The sequence below is a fragment of the Homo sapiens genome, chromosome 14 (genome assembly GCF_000001405.40).
Source record: "Homo sapiens chromosome 14, GRCh38.p14 Primary Assembly".
Taxonomy (NCBI): Eukaryota; Metazoa; Chordata; class Mammalia; order Primates; family Hominidae; genus Homo; species Homo sapiens.
The window spans coordinates 64,374,677-64,394,185 of record NC_000014.9 but is presented as its reverse complement, the minus strand read 5'-3'; the positions used below and the strand labels follow the sequence as shown (position 1 = coordinate 64,394,185).

The 19,509-nt window shown below is 44.5% G+C and overlaps 1 protein-coding gene across 2 annotated transcripts in view, besides 6 other annotated features; it reads right to left on the bottom strand.

The window, feature by feature from the left end:
• The window catches only part of MTHFD1 (methylenetetrahydrofolate dehydrogenase, cyclohydrolase and formyltetrahydrofolate synthetase 1), a 71,673-nt gene extending 65,840 nt beyond the window's left edge, over positions 1 to 5,833 (bottom strand). For both annotated transcript variants that reach the window (NM_005956.4, NM_001364837.1), the window contains exon 1: positions 5,718 to 5,833. In NM_005956.4, coding sequence (NP_005947.3) covers positions 5,718 to 5,758 — 41 coding nt within the window. In that variant the 5' untranslated portion in view covers positions 5,759 to 5,833. The remainder of the gene's footprint in view (positions 1 to 5,717) is intronic.
• Positions 330 to 1,107: an enhancer, noted in NCBI's record as "H3K4me1 hESC enhancer chr14:64859797-64860574 (GRCh37/hg19 assembly coordinates)". NCBI's record gives its function as "activates a minimal SCP1, AML or CMV promoter by ChIP-STARR-seq in primed H9 embryonic stem cells {active_cell/tissue: H9 hESC(primed)}" and the evidence as "EXISTENCE:reporter gene assay evidence [ECO:0000049][PMID:30033119]".
• Positions 1,416 to 2,149: an enhancer, noted in NCBI's record as "H3K27ac hESC enhancer chr14:64858755-64859488 (GRCh37/hg19 assembly coordinates)". NCBI's record gives its function as "activates a minimal SCP1, AML or CMV promoter by ChIP-STARR-seq in naive and primed H9 embryonic stem cells {active_cell/tissue: H9 hESC(naive and primed)}" and the evidence as "EXISTENCE:reporter gene assay evidence [ECO:0000049][PMID:30033119]".
• Positions 2,150 to 2,883: an enhancer, noted in NCBI's record as "OCT4-NANOG-H3K27ac hESC enhancer chr14:64858021-64858754 (GRCh37/hg19 assembly coordinates)". NCBI's record gives its function as "activates a minimal SCP1, AML or CMV promoter by ChIP-STARR-seq in primed H9 embryonic stem cells {active_cell/tissue: H9 hESC(primed)}" and the evidence as "EXISTENCE:reporter gene assay evidence [ECO:0000049][PMID:30033119]".
• Positions 5,981 to 6,070: an enhancer, noted in NCBI's record as "active region_8531". NCBI's record gives its function as "activates an Ori minimal core promoter by ATAC-STARR-seq in GM12878 lymphoblastoid cells {active_cell/tissue: GM12878}" and the evidence as "EXISTENCE:reporter gene assay evidence [ECO:0000049][PMID:35858748]".
• Positions 6,591 to 6,650: an enhancer, noted in NCBI's record as "active region_8530". NCBI's record gives its function as "activates an Ori minimal core promoter by ATAC-STARR-seq in GM12878 lymphoblastoid cells {active_cell/tissue: GM12878}" and the evidence as "EXISTENCE:reporter gene assay evidence [ECO:0000049][PMID:35858748]".
• Positions 6,671 to 6,770: an enhancer, noted in NCBI's record as "active region_8529". NCBI's record gives its function as "activates an Ori minimal core promoter by ATAC-STARR-seq in GM12878 lymphoblastoid cells {active_cell/tissue: GM12878}" and the evidence as "EXISTENCE:reporter gene assay evidence [ECO:0000049][PMID:35858748]".

The following is a 19,509-nucleotide window of genomic DNA, read 5'->3' as shown; positions in this document are numbered from 1 at the left end:
GAATCTTGACTGTGGCACCTTTAGCCACCCACTTCTTCAAGGTCAAGGATTTACAGGGTGACAGAAGCTGCTTTTTGGTCAATTAAGGGGTGCAAAGGAGAGCCAACCGCACAGTGCAGGGGTAATGGGGGCCTTCTGCACTGTGGATGGGACGTCAAAGAAGCTTGTTTTGAGAGTCTTACATTCTTTTAATCCTTGGGGCAACGTCAGGAAGTAGACAGTTCTCATCATCCCTACTGCACAGAAAGGAAAGTGAAGCTAACTTTTCCAAGGCCACACAAGCATCCCTGCCCCTTAACCTCTATTCTACCAACCTCTACTGAGTCAATTAGAGGAGAAGGGAGCCATTTGCTTCCACTCCAAGGACCCTCCTCTGTACTAGGCCAGCTTTCCTTCTAGAAGATTCTTCATGCAAATAGGGGATGTAACAGGGAACCACAGACCTCTGCTCAAAACCCCACTACCCAAATCCCAAACTGCCTGATCCCAACTCCCCTGATGGACAAGGACAGACACTTATTTGCAAACCACATCCCCAATCAGGTGCCATGACCATAGTAGTTGGCTGCCAGCTCTGGGCTCTGCTGCACTATCGCTGCAACCTGCCCAACAGCCTGGCTGGGGTCCTAGCTGAAGGTCCCAGCCTCTCTGGAACTCCGACCTCTCCTGCACAGGCTTCCAGAATCAATCCAGCTATGACAGTCAAGTTTCCATGTAACTTTTGAGCAACCTGCACTTTGGAGTTCATTACAGGCAAATTTTTTTTTTTTTTCTTTCTGAGATGAAGTTTTGCTCTTGTTGCCCAGGCTGGAGTGCAATGGCGCCATCTTGGCTCACTGGCTCACTGCAACCTCCTCCTCCCAGGTTCAAGCCATTCTCCTGTCTCAGCCTCTGGAGTAGCTGGGATTACAGGCATGGGCCACCATGCCCAGCTAATTTTGTATTTTTAGTAGAGATGGGGTTTCACCATGTTAGTCAGGCTGGTCTCCAACTCCTGATCTCAGGTGATCCTCCTGCCTGGGCCTCCCAAAGTCCTAGGATTACAGGCATGAGCCACCACGCCCTGCCCAGACAAATCTTTTTAAGCACAAAAGGGCCTACATGTATTTAATCTACAGGACAAAGTAAAAGTCTTATCCATGTTAACTTAGTAACCAAGAAGACCTGCCCTTCACTATGGTAAGCAAATTATTTTCACAAAAACAGTTCTTCTAGCCCTGTAGCTAAATGTACAGCCAAGGTTCCAAACTTTTATCTTTGATCACTAGGATAAATTCTAATTTTAAGTCTCAAGATTATAAGCCAGCTCCCAAAGGTACAGCCTGGATAAACACAAACATCACTTTTTTATTCAATGAGTACTTTCTAAGTACCTATTTATTAAAACTTACCATGTACCAACAACTTCTCTAAATGCTTTATAGGTATTAAACTCATTTAATTCTAACAACCTTATGAGTTAGGTGACATTACTACCCCAATATACAGAAGCTAAGGCACAGAGGTAAATTGCATGACCCAGTGATGCACAGAGGAGGCAGCACCGTGCTTAGGCTCTGGAGCTACCATCCACAGCGAGCTTACAAATATACCCAACTTGCCCTGCACTTGGCCAGCAAACACTCGCAGCACCTACTCAAACCATCTGCCTCTTCACAACCAGTCTCTTTAGAAAGGAGACTTAATCAAGAAAAATGCCACCAATGGAGAGAGCAGGCTTAATTATAGCAAACTAAGGGAAGGAAAAACCAAACAAATCATATAAATGTAGTAAGCCCCCCTTTGAAAGGCCCACTTATAGAACAACTATGCTTTCTTGCCTACAAAGCAAGGTGGGTCTTCCAACACTAATGCACATCCTTCTCCCACTTTGCATAATCTTTTAAAAGACACCACCCTTCTGCCCAGGGCAGGGTCAGGTTCCTCTACTCAGGAGCCTCCACTCGGTCAGCTTCTCACAGGGCCATTGCCATTGACCCCCCAAAGCAGTAAGTTAGTAACTGGTGAGGACAAAGGTCTATGGCACAGGCTGTGTTTTTGGTCAGGAGCTATTTCCCTCACAACATTGGCAGGCTTAAGGCTCCACCTCCTTCAAGTCTTTGCCCGTAAGTCACTTTTACAAAGACTATGACTCCCATATTTAAAATTGCAGCCACCATACCACAGAAACTCCTGTCCCTCTTTTCTGCTCTGGTGTTCTCTTTGTGCTTCCCACCAGCTCACAATGTGTTTCACCTATTTAAATGTCTGTCTCTACCCATCAGTATGCAAGTTTCATGAGGGTAGGGATTTGGGCTGTTTTGTTCACTATTAGACTCTCAGAGCTTTGAAGATTGCCTGGCTTAGGGGACACATACAGCTACTTGTTGAGTAAGTGAATAAATACCCACAAAGAACAGATACTTGTCTCTAACTCTCAGACCTTCCCCCGGTTGTCAAATTCAGGCTGCAAACTTAGAATTCCCCGTGAGGGAGAAAAGGGGCTGTTACTTCCAAAGAAAGATAATTTGGCAACTAAATCCATCATGTAAGTACCCAGTTTCCCACAGAGTAGAGCAGGTAGAGAAGGAATCTGGAATGCTGAACTTTGTTGATGTCCGAGCTCCCAGGAAGGCATAAAAGGAGAATAATAATAGAAGAGGACGAGTCAGGGATAGCATTCTCAGCAGGGTGGGAAACATGCTAATGAGAGGAAGACTGTAAAGAAAAAGCAAAGCGCCAGCGGGGGCGCAGTGGCTCACACCTGTAATCCTAGCACTTTAGGAGGTGGAGGTGGACAGATCACTTGAGGTCAGGAGTTCAAGACCAGCTTGACCAACATGGCGAAACCCCATCTCTACTAAAAATTCAAAAATTAGCCGGGCATAGTAGTGCATGCCCGTAGTCCCAGCTACCTGGGAGGCTGAGGCAGGAGAATCGTTTGAACCCAGGAAGTGGAGGTTACAGTGAGACAACATCGTGCCATTGCACTCCAGCCTGAGCAACAGAGCAAGACCTTGTCTGAAAAATAAAAAGAAAGAAAGAAAGAAAAGAAAAAGAAAAGCTTACGAAATTCCTTTTAGCAAGTAGTAAGTGCTGGTTAGAATGAAAAACATCATATACTGGGTGAAGACCTTAGTTTTAGTTGAGCCATTGCCATTCACCCTTGGACAAATCACATCACTTTTCTGGCCTCAAATGATTTCCTAATCCGCAGGATGGAATGTGGGAAGTGGGCTGGATTTTTAAGAAATTCTAGGACCGGTGCAGTGGCTCATGCCTGTAATCCCAGCACTTTGGGAGGCCGAGGTGGGTGGATCACATGGGGTCAGGAGTTACAGACCAGCCTGACCAACATGGTGAAAGCCCGTCTCTACTAAAAATACAAAAATTAGCCGGACGGGGTGGCACACACCTGTAGTCTCAGCTACTCGGGAGGCTGAGGCAGGAGAATCGCTTGAACCTGGGAGGTGGAGGTTGCAGTGAGCCAAGATCATGCCATTGCACTCCAGCCTGGGCAACAAGAGTGAAACTCTGTCTCAAACAAACAAACAAACTAGCTGGACATGGTGGCGGACGCCTGTAATCCCAGCTACTTGGGAGGCTGAGGCAGGAGAATCGCTTGAACCCAGGAGGCAGAGGTTGCAGTGAGCCGAGATCACGCCATTGTACTCCAGTCTGGGCGACGAGTGAAACTCCATCTCAAAAAAAAAAATTAGCTAGGCGTGATGGCGGGCACCTGTAATCCCAGGTACTCAGGAGGCTGATATGAGAGAATTGCTTGTATGCAGGAGGCAGAGGTTGCAGTGAGCCAAGATTGGACACAGCAAGACTTCATCTCAAAAAAAAAAATAGATCTCAAGGCAGCAGCTACCATGTAAAAAAAAAAAAAGATAATGAATCATTCATATATACATTAACTAATTACTGATTATTAATACAACATATATCGAATACTTATTATGTGCCAGGAAGAATTATAAATGATCATCTGTTAGGAACCCATTTAATTCTACTAACATCCCAATGACCTAGACATTACTTTTACTTAACATTTGAGGAAACTTTGGCACAGAAAGGTTAATTAATTTGCTTAAAACCACACAAGTAGTAAGGCAGGAAACAGGGTTTCCAGGTGTTTAGGATATAGACAAAAATAAGACAATACATGTATTTGCCCTTATGGAGTTGATAAACATATTTAATTTGCTCTCCAATTAACGAAAGTATATTCAGTGAGCACCTATTCTCAGTACTGGCCCAGATGCATTATTATTGTACTAAATTATCTGCACTATTATTATGCACTAAATTATCTCTTCACAATCAGTCTTTCTAAAAGGAAGATTTTTATATTAAAACAAAAAGCCACTGGAAAAGGAAGTAAGTTTGAATACAAGCAAACAAAAACAGAAAGTAAAGCAGAAATACAGTTTAGCAAGCCACATGTTGAAAAGCACTAAGCAGTAAGTATTGTGATTTCTTTTTTTTTTTTTCTTAGACGGAGTTTCGCTCTTGTTGCCCAGGCTGGAGTGCAATGGCGCATCTCAGCTCACTGCAACCTCTGCCCCCCAGGTTCAAGTGATTCTCCTGCCTCAGCCTCCCAAGTAGCTGGGATTACAGATGCCTGCCACCACACTCGGCTAATTTTTTGTATTTTTAGTAGAGATGGGGTTTCACCATTTTGGATAGGCTGGTCTTGAACTCCAGACCTCAGGTGATCCACCCACCTCGGCCTCCCAAAGTGCTGGGATTACAGGCATGAGCCACTGGGCCCGGACTTTTCACCACCGATGACTTTGTAATTCACTCAAAAACCTATTACAAAGTTAGGAGTTACAGGACAATTACAATTTAGTAACTGCTGTGGCTGGCAACAGTTACTTACATAACGGGTGATGTGAAAGGTCCCAAGAGCAAACTCAGTAAGGTCACACAGAATATATCTTTCCCTCCTTCATCTACTAGAGGGAATATATTTTTCCCTCTTCCTTCTACTCTCATTTTTCCTCACCAGTCACCTCCCAGACAAAAAGCAGCCAGTGTTACTTCCTGGGAGTAAAGCTGGCAACGATACCCACTAATTAAGCATTCAGATGTCCCGCAAGGGTAGAACAGGCAGAGGTCAAGTGGAATGCAGAATATTCTCAGGACTCAGGAGCCAAATTACGTTTCAAGTAACTCTAGGACCAGGGCAGAGAGATGGCTGTTAGAGAGAAGCACGAGATTGAAGAGAAAGGAAAAATGTATTAGATTTCACTTAGCGTATGATAAGACTATGGTATAGTGGGAAAAGCTATGAGCTGGAAGGACCCTCTGTCATTATCAGCCTTGTAGTCTTGTCAAGCCTTGTCACCTCACTAGTCTCCATCTACTCACCTCCAAATTAACGGGAATTAAGTAGATTGGATTTCTGAGTTCTGACTAGGGGGGCTCCAGGAAGCCGCAACTACCCACTCTCCCGGCAGAAAGTCACCAGCAGCTGCGCGTTTGGGAGCATAGTCGGCACAGGACTTTTCCCCGAAGCACAGGAGCCAGCGGCTACAGCCACTAGGCAGTCCACTTGCAAACGCAGGTTGTGCCCGGGTTCTCTTTCTTTGGCTGCAGGTCTTCAGGTGTTATGGGCCTAACTCTTCCGCTACAAGTGTCCCTCCCGCAAAAAATGGGTCCGGGGGACCTGCACACCCTCAGAGCCCTCGTCCACAGCCCCACACTCAACAACAATGTCAGGTGCTTACGCGGAGATCTCCTTCCCGTTCAGGATTTCTGCTGGCGCCATGGCCTTTATTAGTCCGCTGCCCACGATGGACACCACCAATATCGAGGTTCCACTCCCTCCGCAGCCAAGCAGGACAACCCAACCCACGTGCTTAGGGACTGGCCAGGGGATCACACTACTGCGCCTGCGCCCCTGCCCGCTTCTCCCCCTGCAGACGCGGTGGCGCATGCGCAGTTCGGAAGGACCCGAGTCCCTTAACTAACCGAGAGCTAACAGGTCGGGGACTGCGGGACGGAAGAGGGAGGGGAAGATGAAGAAAATCGGTGATGAATGGCTGGCGGAAATGATTGGCGGAAAGAAAGAGCCAGTTCACAGTGCGCCTTTGTATTCGGCGGGAAACCCGGCCGAAGAGGGAGCTGGAAAGGACTCCGGAATCCGGCCGTAATTCCAGCCAATCAGGGAGTAGAGTTGCGGGGCGGGGTTGGGGCGGGGCAGTCTCGCGGGAGATAGTTTCGCGGGTTCGGGAGGCGAGTCTCCGGTTTCCGCCCAGTCTCTGGGGACGCGGTGGCGGGGTCTGAATCGCCTGGCTTCCAGGGAGTTTTGGGCGGGTCCCCGCACGGGAGCGTGGCAGGCGCTGGACTCGACAGCAGATGTGGAACTGGAGAGCTTGGCGCGCCCTCATACTTTGTCACACACCTACGCCACCAGACTGGGGTCGGGCCCCTCCGCGTTCTGCTCTGGAGGGCCTGGGTCTGGGCCCAGCATAGCGCTTTTAGAATCTCCTCAGCTGAATCTGACGCTCAGCCGTAGGTGAAGCTTAGCCCGCTGTTTCAGGCCCCGCCGATCTGGAAGGAGTGTCAGAGCTGGAGCGCGCGTGGCCTCATCGGTGTTGGGGTCACCCCGGGGTTGCCAGGGCTCATGGAGGGTCGTAGTCTGGATTTTGTCACCCCCACGTCCCCGCCCCGCAGCAAGTCTGGGGTTGGAGAACTCACGCGGTCTTCGTAAGCTACATGCCAGTTGACCCTCGAGGAGGGATGCTCCCTCCCCTTAAGCGTCCACGCTGGAGAAGGAGTAAGATGGACAATTGCCTGGGGAGCCTGACAGGGCGGTGGCAGCTGGGATGCTGGAGAGGACTGGCCCCTTGTGTTACTGAGTCCAAGGAATATGCTTGCTCTGCTCTAGGAACCGCGTTCAGGTTACAGTCATCCCAGTAGAGTCCTGAAGATGCGTGGTTCAGGTCACTTAGGACTTGACCAGATACCGGGTTTCTTTTACAAGCCGTTTACTACTGGCAGAGCTCATCTAAAACTTTTTTTGTTTGTTTGTTTGAGACGGAGTCTCATTCTGTCGCCCAGGCTGGAGTGCAGTGGCACGATTTTGGCTCACTGCAACCTCCGCTTCCCGGGTTCAAGCAGTTCTCTGCCTCAGCCTCCCGAGTAGCTGGGATTACAGGCACCACCTAATTAGCCCGCCACCACGCCCGGCTAATTTTTGTATTTTTAGTAGAGACGGGGTTTCACCATCTTGGCTAGGCTGGTCTTGAACTCCTGACCTCGTGATCCACCCGCCTCGGCCTCCCAGAGTGCTGGGATTACAGGCGTGAGCCACCGCACCTGGCCTAAAACTGATTTTTTATTAATTTTGGGGCTTTTAATATTTTTTTCTTATTTCTAAATTCTGAGGTTATTTATAGTAGCCCCATATACGGGATTAGATAATCTCTTGTGATTTTCTATTTCTGGTAATTATTTCTAATATATGTTTTTTTGTTTTTGAGACGGAGTCTCGCTATGTCGCTCAGGGTGGAGTGCAGTGGCATGATCTCCGCTCTTTGTAGCCTCTGCCTCCCGGGTTCAAATGATCCTCCCACCTCAGCCCCCCGAGTAGCTTGGACCACAGGTGCATGCCACCACGCCGGCTAATTTTTCTATTTTTGGTAGAGTTGGGGTTTCACTATGTTGACCAGACTGGTCTAGATCTCAAGGGATTAGTCTCCCTTGGCCTCCCAAAATGCTGGGATAATGGGCATGAGCCACCGTGCGTGGCCTTAAAGTTACTATTCTTAAAGTTTGCACAAGTGATATGTTAAAGGCACAGACTTAGTAATATAATGTCATTATAATAATAACCCTAAAACACATTGTCTCATATTGTGTTGTACCTAAACAAGTGAAATTAAGAAGAAAATTGAAGGAAATGTTTCTGGTAAATTGCAGATAGTGAATCTTTTGTCTTATACTATCAAATAGGTATTGACTATTCCAGCTTTCTTATTTGTTGAGGAAGATGGCAGAAATCCCGTTTTACAGAGGGATAGACTTTGAAGGATAATACCCAAAGCTGCATAGCTGTGGCTGGTATAGGCCCCAAACCTGATGTTTCTTCTCTAAATCTACTGCCTTTGCCATCTCAACAGCCTGGTTTTTGACAGTTATCTATGTATGAGTTGCATAAATCGTTCATTCATGGAGCAAATAATTATTGAGTGGCCACTATGCCAACAGCACTGCTATAGATGCTAGAGATACCCTAGTGAACCAGCAAAGTTTCTGCTCTCAGCTCATATTCTGGTGGAGGAGACAACGATCAAGTTAAAGAAATACATAGGCTAATTTTAGAGATTATGACATGCTATATTTTAAAAATAGGCAAGCTAAGAGGATAGGCAGTGATGCTGGGAGGTGGGAAAGTTTTGTCTCAGAAATGTGGTAAGAGATTTCTTTGGGCATCTGACTTCAGCAGAAACCTTAATGAAGAGAGGAACTTGGAATGTAAAAGAAAGAAAGCAGGGATTTGCTCTGAGCAACTGGAAAGATGGAATTGCCATTCGCTGAGTTGAAATAAAGTAAAATGTAGGACTAGGTTTTGGGGTTAAGATTATGAATTCGGCTTTAGACATTTTTAGATTTCTCTTAGACATCCAAATGGAGAGAAGATATTTAAATCCATGGGATTGAATGAGATCCAACCAAGGGTATTGTAGGTAGAGAGAGGACCAAAGACTGACACCTAGAACCTTTCAGTGTTCAGAATGCAAGGAGACAGGAGGAACCAAGAGGGAAGATTGAAAAGGAGAGTCCAGCTGGGAGCTGTGGCTACACCTTTACTAATCCCAGCACTTTGGGAGACCAAATACAGGAAGATCACTTGAATCCAGGAGTTTGTAGAACAGCCTTAGCAACATAGCAAGACCCTGTCTCTACAAAAATAAAAATTAAAAAATTTGCCTGTAATCCGAGCATTTTGGAGGCCGAGGTGGGTGGATCAGCTGAGGTCAGGAGTTTGAGACCAACTTGGCCAACACAGTGAAACCCCGTCTCTACTAAAAATACAAAAATTAGCTGGGCGTGATGGCTGGCACCTGTAATCCCAGCTACTCGGGAGGCCGAGGCAGGAGAATCCCTTGAACCTAGGAGGCAGAGGTTGCAGTGAGCCGAGATCACGCCACTGCACTCCAGCCTGGGAGACAGAGCGAGACTCCATCTCAAAATAAATAAATAAATAAAAATTTAAAAAGTTAGCTGGGCGTGGTGGCATGTACCTGTAGTCCCAGTTACTCAGAAGGCTGAGGTGGGAGGATCCTGTGAGCCTAGGAGTTGGAAACTTCAGTAAGCTATAATCATCACACTGCACTCCAACCTAGGCAACAGAGCAAGACCCTGTCTCTTAAAAGGAAAGGAGAGTCCAGTGTGTTCTAAGGAAAACCCCAAGAGCATCCCACCTTAGAATACAAGTGAGGAGGCCTGGCATGGTGTCTCATGCCTGTAATCCCAGCACTTTGGGAGGCCAAGGTGGGTGGATCACTTGAGGTCAGGAGTTCTAGACCAGCCTGACAAACATGGCGAAACCTCCGTCTCTATAAAAATACAAAAATTAGCCAGGTGTGGTAGCGCGTGCCTGTAATCCCAGCTACTAGGGAGGCTGAGGCAGGAGAACTGCTTGAACTCAGGGGGCAGAGTTTGCAGTGAGCCGAGATAGTGCCACTGCACTCCAGCCTGAGCAACAGAGTGAGACTCTGTCTCAAAAACAAACAAGTAAACAAACAAAAAAAAAAACAAGACAAGTGAAGAATGTGTTTCATGGAAAAAGAGGTAATTAATTCTGTCAAGTGTTGCAAATTGGTCAAATAAAGAATGAAAATCAACCTTTCACAGCAAATAGAAGGAAAAAATATTTTTATTTAAATGCTTATAAAGGCAGTTGCTAGAAAAAATGTTTACTTTTTGCAGAGGCCCCGTTTTTACAACCTTTTTCAGGGGTAATTTGATATGATAATATCTACGGGAAAAAAAATGTTTTTTTTTTTGAGTCGCTCTGTCACCAGGCTGGAGTGCAGTGGCATGATCTCGGCTCACTGAAACCTCCGCCTCCCAGGTTCAAGCAATTCTTCTGCCTCAGCCTCCCAAGTAGCTGGGACTACAGGTGGGCGCCACCACACCCAGCTAATTTTTGTATTTTTAGTAGAGACGGGGTTTCACCATGTTGGCCAGGATGGTCTCAATCTTGACCTCGTGATCTGCCTTCCTTGGCCTCCCAAAGTGCTGGGATTGGTACAGGTGTGAACCACCATACCTGGCCCGAAAATTTTAAATTTGTATTTTCTTTGACATTGTAATTCCACTTCCAGGATTTTTTTTTTTTGGACAGGATTTTACTCTGTCACCCAGGCTGGAGTGCAGTAACACAATCAGCTCACTGCAACCCTGAACTCCTGGGCTAAAGTGATCCTTCTGAGTAGTTGGGACTATAGGCACATGCCACCACCCCTGATTAATTAAAAAATTTTCCTGTAGAGATAGTCTTGCTATGTTGCCCAGACTGGTCTCCAGCTCCTGGCCTCAAACCATCCTCCCACCTTGACCTTCCAAAACGTTGGGATTACAGGCGTGAGCCACCTCTCCCAGTTTAGGAATTTATCTTAAAGTAATATTTACATATAAAGAAAGATGTATAGGCTGGGTGCAGTGGTTCACGCCTGTAATCCCAGCACTTTGGAAGGCCGAGGCTGGTGGATCAACTGAGGTCAGGAGTTCAAGACCAACCTGGCTAACATGGCGAAACCCCATCTCTACTAAAAATACAAAAATTAGCTGGGCGTGGTGGCCAGCCCCTGTAATCCCAGCTACTCGGGAGGCTGAGGCAGGAGGATAGCTTAAACCCAGGAGACGAAGGTTGCAGTGAGCCAAGATTACACCATTGCACTCCAGCCTGAGCAACAAAAGCGAAACTCCATCTCAAAAAAACAAAAACTAAAACTAAACAAAACAAAAAAACCATGTGTAAAACTGTTAATCACAACACTGATTTCAATAGCAAAAAACAAAATTTCTGTCAGGATGGATGCAGTTGTTAAAGGAACAGCAGATACATATGTATAGACATGTAAGATAGCTTTCATACTTTTTTTTTTGAGATGGAATTTCGTTCTTGTCACCCAGGCTGGAATGCAATGGTGAGATCTAGGCTCCGCTTCTCAGGTTCAAGTGATTCTCCTGCCTCAGCCTCCTGAGTAAGCTGGGAATACAGGCGCCCGCCACCACGCCCAGGTAATTTTTGTATGTTTAGTAGAGACAGGGTTTCGCCATATTGGCGAGGCTTGTCTCAAACTCCTGACCTCAGGTGATCCACCCACCTCCAAAAGTGTTGGGATTACAGGCATCACCCACCACGCGTGACCAGCTTTTATACATTTTTAAATGATAAAGACAGGTTAATAAAATGTATAATATTATGTTGCTATATCCAAAAAAAGGCCTTCTTTGATTACACTATCAAAAGTTACCTCTCCATCTACATCCCCATTACTATCTCATTAACCTGTTTTATTCATAGCACTTACTACCATCTAAAATGACTTTATTTCTTTATATTTTTGTTTGCTACCTGTCTTTTACACCAGAATTTAATTTTTAAGCTTTTTTTGTTTGTTTGTTTGTTTGTTTTGAGATGGAGTCTTGCTCTGTTGCCCAGACTGGAGTGCAGTGGTGCGATCTCAGCTCACTGCAACCTCTGCCTCCTGGGTTCAATCAATCCTCCTGCCTCAGCCTCCCAAGTAGCTGGGATTACAGGCATGTGCCACCATGCCCAGCTAATTTTTGCATTTTTAGTACAGCAGGGTTTCACCATGTTGGTCAAGCTGGTCTCAAACTCCTGACCTCAGGAGATCCGTCAGCCTTGGCCTCCCAAAGTGTTGGGATTACAGGCGTGAGCCACAGCACCCAGCCAGAATTTAAACTTTATAAGAGATTTCCTGTCTTGTTCATACTTATATACCTGCAGCTTCGAAACATATATATATGTTTAATATATATAATAGATATATTTTAAATTATATATAGAGAGATGGAGTTTCACTCTTGTTGCCCAGACTGGAGTGCAATGGCGTGATCTCGGCTCACCACAACCTCTGCCCCCCGGGTTCAAGCAATTCTCCTGCCTCAGCCTCCAGAGTAGTTGGAATTACAGGCACGTGCCACCATGCCTGGCTAATTTTGTATTTTTAGTAGAGACAGAGTTTCTCCATGTTGGTCAGGCTGGTCTCGAGCTCTTGACCTCAGGTAGTCTGCCTGCCTCGGCCTCACAAAGTGCTGGGATTACAAGCATGAGTCACTGTGCCCTGCCAGAATTTAAGCTTTATAAGAGATTTCCTGTCTGTTTATACTTAAATACCTGCAGCTTGGAAACATATATATGTTTATATGTATATATTACATACATTATATATATATTTTTATATATTATAATTATAAACTCCTGACCTCAGGTGATCCACCTGCCTCAGTCTCTCAAATGCTGGGATTACAGGCGTGAGCCACCACGCCAGGCCAGAAACATATTTTTAAAAATCTTGTTTTAGAGGAAAAACAGAGTATTTCTTTTTTTTTTTTTATTAGATGGATTCTCACTCTATTGCCCAGGCTGGAGTACAGTGGCACAATCTTGGCTCACCGCAACCTCAGCCTCCCGGGTTCAAGCAATTCTCCTGCCTCAGCCTCCCGAGTAGTTGGAACTATAGGCGTGAGCCACCATGCCCTGCTAATTTTTGTATTTTTAGTGCAGATGGGGTTTCACTATGTTGGCCAGGCTGGTCTCGAACTCCTGACCTTGTGATCTGCCCACCTCGGCCTCCCAAAGTGCTGGGATTACAGGTGTGAGCCACTGCGCCCGGCCTATTTCTTCTTCTCTTTGTTTAGTTATTATCTATTACTCTCATTCCTATGAACATAACTTGTTTCTCCCCACTTAATTTTTATCATACATAATTGTAGACAGTGGGCACTGTCTTCAATTATAGTGAATTTAGCAGTAAATTCACATTAGACCAACTTGTATAGCTTTAAAAAATATATTTATGTCTAGGTTCCACCCTTGACCAACTAAGTCAGAACTTGGGTGGGTTCAAGGTTCATTATTCTTTGAAGATAAGATGATGTTTGAATAAAATTCCTGGTGATTCTGGTATCAAAAATACAAATTTGGGACATACTTTTTCTGCTGTAAAAATATTTTCCTAAGGCCAGGCGCAGTGGCTCACGCCTGTAATCCTAGCACTTTGGGAGACGGAGGCGGCGGATCACTTGAGGCCAGGAGTTCAAGACCAGTCTGGCCAACATGGTGAAACCCAGTCTCTACTAAAAATAGAAAAAATTAGCCAGGCATGGTGGCACGTGCCTGTAGTCCCAGCTACTCAAGAGGCTGAGGCAGGAGAATCCTTTGAACCCGGGAGGCAGAGGTTGCAGTGAGCCGATATTGCAGCACTGCACTCCAGCCTGGGTGACAGATCAAAACTCTGTCTCAGAAAAAAAAAAAAAAAAAAAAAGAATTTCCTAGAATTAGAATCGCAGGGGTTTTTTTTGTTTTGTTTGTTTGTTTGTTTGTTTGTTTTTGAGACAGAGTTTCACTCCTGTCGCCCAGGCTGGAGTGCAATGCCATGATCTCGGCTCATTGCAACCTCTGCCTCCTGAGTTCAAGCAATCCTCCTGCCTCAGCCTCCCGAATAGCTGGGATTACAGGCACCTGCCACCATGCCCAGCTAATTTTTGTATTTTTAGTAGAGACTGGGTTTTACCATGTTGGCCAAGCTGGTCTCGAACTCCTGACGTCAGGTGATCCACCCAGCTCATTCTCCCAAAGTGCTGGAATTACAAGCATGAGCCACTGCACTCGGCCTTTATTTATTTATTTATTTTTGAGATGAAGTCTTGCTCTGTTGCCCAAGCTGGAGTGCAATGGCATGATCTCGGCTCACTGCAACCTCCACCTCCCAGGTTCAAGCAATTCTCCTGCCTCAGCCCCCTGAGTAGCTGGGATTACAGGCGTGCACCACCACGCCTGGCTAATTTTTGTATTTTTAGTAGAGACAGGGTTTCACTATGTTGGTCAGGTTAGTCTCGAGCTCCTGACTTCGTGATCCGCCCGCCTCAGCCTTCCAAAGTGTTGGGATTACAGGCGTGAGCCACCGCGCCTGGCCAGAATCCCAGTTTTTTAACACATCTAATGCTTTAGGAATAGTAAATGGAAACATCATTTCCCCTTCTTTCGAAGTACTTCTACCTTGATGAGATGTATGTATTGGAGTACAATATTTGACCTAGCCAAGAATTTCACAAAAGAAGCCCAAAATATGATTTTCACGTTTACTGGACTGTTCACTTTTGGTGGGATCACTTTCTTAAGATTACTTAAAGTACTAATGCTTGATGAAAATCATTTGTGTTTTCACTTCATTAATTGGAGAAAGAGCTACATGTTTTTGTTGTTGTTGTTGTTGTTTTGAGATGGTGTCTTGCTCTGTCTCCCAGGCTGGAGTGCAATGGCGTGATCTCAGCTCACTGCAACCTCCGCCTCCCGGGTTCAAGCGATTCTCCTGCCTCAGCCTCCTGAGTAGCTGGGACTACAGGCGCCTGCCACCACGCCCAGCTAATTTTTATACTTTTAATAGAGACAGGGTTTCACCATATTGGCCAGGATGGTCTCAATCTCTTGACCTTGTGATCCACCCGCCTTGGCCTCCCAAAGTGCTGGGATTACAGGCGTGAGCCACTGCGCCCAGCCAGAGCTACAGGTTTTACTGTAACACTTTAGAAGGTCCTTTTTCTTTGTACCTCTGTGATGTGTTCACCTAGCAACAGCTTCTTTGATATGCAAACATTCTACAGGCAAATTGCTCAGAGCAGCTACTCATGTTGGACAATTCAGGTCTCTTCTGGAAACTGGCCTTGTATTTGGAATTTTCTCCAGAGTCTGATGTGGTAAAAATTTATACTTTTCACTTCTTACTAAATGCAGCATAGCATACTACATCTTTTGAGTGTGTAAAAAATAAAGTAGTCATGTACAAACCTAAAATCACAGAATAATCATGTAACGGTGCTATATTTTATTTTTACTTTAGATTCCTAATACATTTTTATTGTATCTTTATAAGGTTAGTTTGGGAGAATAGCACTATCATCATCTATATTAGTTAACTTTGCATTAAGGTTTTTCATTAAGGTTTTTCCCCTGTTTGGTTCTTTCATTTTACGATCCATATTTTTTGTGCCTGGTATGGGATGATAAAGATAACAGAAATAGCTCCTGTTTTTAGGTACCTTTATTTGTTTGTTTGTTTGGAGACAGGGTCTTACTCTGTCACCCAGGCTGGTGGCACAATCATAGCTTACTACAGACTAACTCCTGGCTCAAGCCATCCTCCACCTCAGCCTCCCAAGTAACTGAGATTACAGGTGCACACCACCACCTCTGGCTAATTATTAAAATTTTCATAGAGACAGGATCTCACTTGGTTGGCCAGACTGATCTCAAACTCCTGGTCTCAAGTGATCCTCCCACCCCAGCCTCCTGAAGTACTAGGATTGCAGGCATGAACCACTGCCCTGGCCTAGATACATTTAATGTAGTAGAGGAGATGAGATTTTTACATAGTATAATATTGAATGAGACAACAGTCAAAAGAAAATCACATACTATAAGAGAAGAGATTACCCTTACCTTTTAGGAATCAAGAAAACTCCCTGGAGGAGATGGTACTTGAACTTATACTGGAGGATTTATATGTTCATCCTTCTTGGTTTATATTTTGTCCCACACGGTAGCTTGTTTCTTTTTTCTTTTTTTTCTTTTTCTTTTTTTTTTTTTGAGGCAGAGTTTTGCTCTGTTGCCCAGGCTAGAGTGCAGTGGCGCGATCTCGGCTCACTGCAACCTCCACCTCCTGGGTTCAAGCGATTCTCCTGCCTCAGCCTCCCTAGTAGCTTGTTTCTTAGAGACAGTGTGAGTGAAACTCATTAAGTAAAGTCAATACAGCACAAGTTTCATAAAATGGTAAAGAAATAGAAATAAAAGTAAAGGATGAAATTCTTAAGAACTTTGTCAGGCCAGGCGTGGTGGCTCATGCCTGTAATCCCAGCACTTTGGGAGGCCGAGGTGGGTGGATCACCTGAGGTCAGGAGTTTGAGACCAGCCTGGCCAACATGGCAAAACCCTGTCTCTCTAAAAATACAAAAATTAGCTGGGCATGCTGGCGGGTGCCTATAATCCCAGCTACTCGGGAGGCTGAGGCAGGAGAATCGCTTGAACCCAGGAGGCGGAGGTTGCAGTGAGCCGAGATCACATCATTCCACTCCAGCCTGGGTGCCAAGAGCAAAAAACTCCATCTTGAAAAATAAAGAACTTTGTCTCCAGTATCATTCTTGTTCTAGGACTGAGAAACAGTTCATTCTTCATTTTCGTCTACTAAAATTTAAGTTCTTTGATTTTCTTCTTTAGGTCTTGGAAAAAGAATTAATAGAGTAATTTTCTTAGGTATCAAGTAATGAAAATGAGAAAAGAGACTAGTCTCATTATAGATTTTTTTTTTTATTCTTATTTTATTTTATTTGAGACAAGGTCTCGCTCTGTCACCCAGGCTGGAGTGTAGTGGCTCCATTATGGTTCCCTGCAGCCTTGAACTCAGGGGCCCAAGCAATCCTCCCACCTCAGCATCCCGAGCAGCTGGGACTACAGGTGCATGCCACCATGCCTGGCTAATTTTTGTGCTTTTTCGTGTATAAAGATGAGATTTCGCCATGTTGCCCAGGCTGGTCTCAAACTCCTGGGCTCAAGAGATCTGTCCACCTCAGCCTCCTAAAGCGCTGAGATTACAGGCATGAGCCACCACGTCCAGCCTAGAGATATTTATACTTTAATAGCTGCCTGCAATACCAATACACCTAGAATGAATTAGAAGAATTTGAAAACAGATTTCAGGATTAGTAAAAGAAAGTCAAGCCCTATGCCTCCTGTTCTACATTCCTCAAATCACATAATCCTGATTTTTTCCTCTTCGTATGAAAATTCCTCTCATTTTGGGCCTGTTTGATTTTTTGGGAGACACCACCCAGCAGAAACACACCGCACTTACATGCAACCCCTCCATTGCACAGTTTCTAAATGCCCCCCCGCTTTTTTTTCCATTCTCTGATCCTAAAAAAAGAAATCCAGTGGCACAATCACGGATCTCTGCAGCCTTGATCTCTTAGCCTCAAGTGATTCTCCTGCCTCAGCTTCCTGAGTAGCTGGGACCACAGGTGCTTGCCACCATGCCCAGCTATTTTTTTTTCTTTGTTTTTTTGTAAAGATGTGTCTCACTATCTTGCCCAGGCTGATATTGAATTCCTGGGCTCAAGTGATCCTCCTACCTTGGCCTCCCAAAGTGCTGGGATTTTATATATATATATATATATATATATATATATATATATATTTCCATTTTACTTATGTTAATGCTTTCCCTCTTTTGGCATAGAAAAGCTAATAAAGCTTAAACTTAAATGGAACTTGTATAAACACAATATATCTGATGATACCTTTGAGAGATGTCTTACATTTGTCTTTTCTTTCAGCAAAATGTGATGCCAGTCCCTGAAATGTGTAGCAATTTAATTATGGGTAGCATTCTTCTTTCCCTGTACTTACTATAGTATTAACTTACTACTAATGCTAAGAAGTTTATAATTTTTGATAATTCAGATTTGGATTAGATTAAGATTTATGTCTATGCATAATTCATTAAAAACTTTTTAAACCAAATTGTCAAAAAAGATTGTAGGTACCTTGTTTAAAGAAAATATATAAGCTAGTTTCAAGAATTCCAAAATATTTTTTAAAAGCAGCTCTGTACATGTCGATAAATTATTTGCTCATTGTAATTTTTTGAATCTGTTTGTCAAAGCAAATGTAGACGGGCTCGAACTCCTGACCTCAAATGATCCACCCGCCTCAGTCTCCCAAATGCTGGTATTACAGGCATGAGCCACTGCTCATGGCCTGTTATCATTTTTAATTGAAAATTTTACTGAGATAATTGTAGATTCACTTGCCATTATAAGAAATAATTCAGAGATATCACTTGTATACTTAGCCCAGTGTCCCCCAAAGGTAAAATTTTGCAAAATTATAGTCTAATGTAACAGCGTGAATATTGACATTAATACAATCCACTGAGTTTATTCAGATTTCCCCAGTTTTACTTGTATTCAATTGTGTGTTTGTGTATTAAGTTCGATATAACTAGTCAATATACTGAACAGTTCTAACATCACAAGTATCCTTCAGGTAGCCCTTTTGTATCCACATCCACTTCCTTCTCATCCCCAACTATTGACAACCACTAATCCCTTTTCCATTTCTAAAATGTGATTTCAAAAATGTTACATACTTGGCTGGGGGCGGTGGCTCATGCCTGTAATCCCAGCACTTTGGATATACGGTCTCTACTAAAAATACAAAAATTAGCTGGGAGTGGTTGTGCACACCTGTAATCCCAGGTGCTTGGGAAGCTGAGGCAGGAGAATTGCTTGAACCCAGGAGGCAGAGCTTGCAGTGAGCCGAGAGTGTGCCACTTCACTCCAGCCTGGGCAACAGAGTGAGACTCTGTTTCAAAAATAAATAAATAAATAAATAAAATGGTCTTCATACAGCCTTTGCTGCTAGGAAATATAGTTTCTAATTAATGTAATTTTTTGTCAAATACAAAATGCTTCTGAACGTTTCTGGTTATCAAGCTGGTAATCTTTCACAGTGTCCTCAATTTTTTTTTCTACTCTCTTACTAGTTCTCCAGATCACATGCAGGCTATTAAGAAATGTGAACTAACAAGTTAAAGTAGCAGGACGGGCGCTGTGGCTCACACCTATAATCCCAGCACTTTGGGAAGCTGAGGCAGGTGGATCACTTGAGGTCAGGAGTTTGAGAGCAGCCTGGCCAACAAGGTGAAACCACATCTCTACTAAAAAAAAAAAAAATTTGCCAGGTGTGGTGGTGCATACCTGTAATCCTAGCTATTTGGGAGGCTGAGGCATGAGAATCGCTTGAACCCAGGAGGCAGAGGCTGCGGGGAGCCAGGATCATAGCACTGCACTCCAGCCTGGGTGACAGAGCTAGACCCTGTCTGAAAAAAAAAAAAAATGTTAGTAGCAGCAGAGCACAGTGGCTCATGCCTGTAATCCCAACACTATGGGAGTCTGAGGCGGGAGGATCTCTTGAGCTTAGGAGTTCAAGACCAGCCTGACAACATAGTAAGACTCCATCTCTACAAATAATCATTAAAAAAATTAGCCGGGCGTAGTGGCACCTACCTGTAGTCCCAGCTACTGGGGAGGCTGAGATGGGAGGATCACCTGGGCCTGGGAGGTCAAGGCTGCAGTGAGCTGTGATCGCCATTGTACTCCAAACTGGGTGACAAGAGTGAGACCATGCCTCAAAAATAATAATAATAAATGTATAATTTAAATGTGACCTAACATTATGAAGTTTTTAAAAACAAAATTATA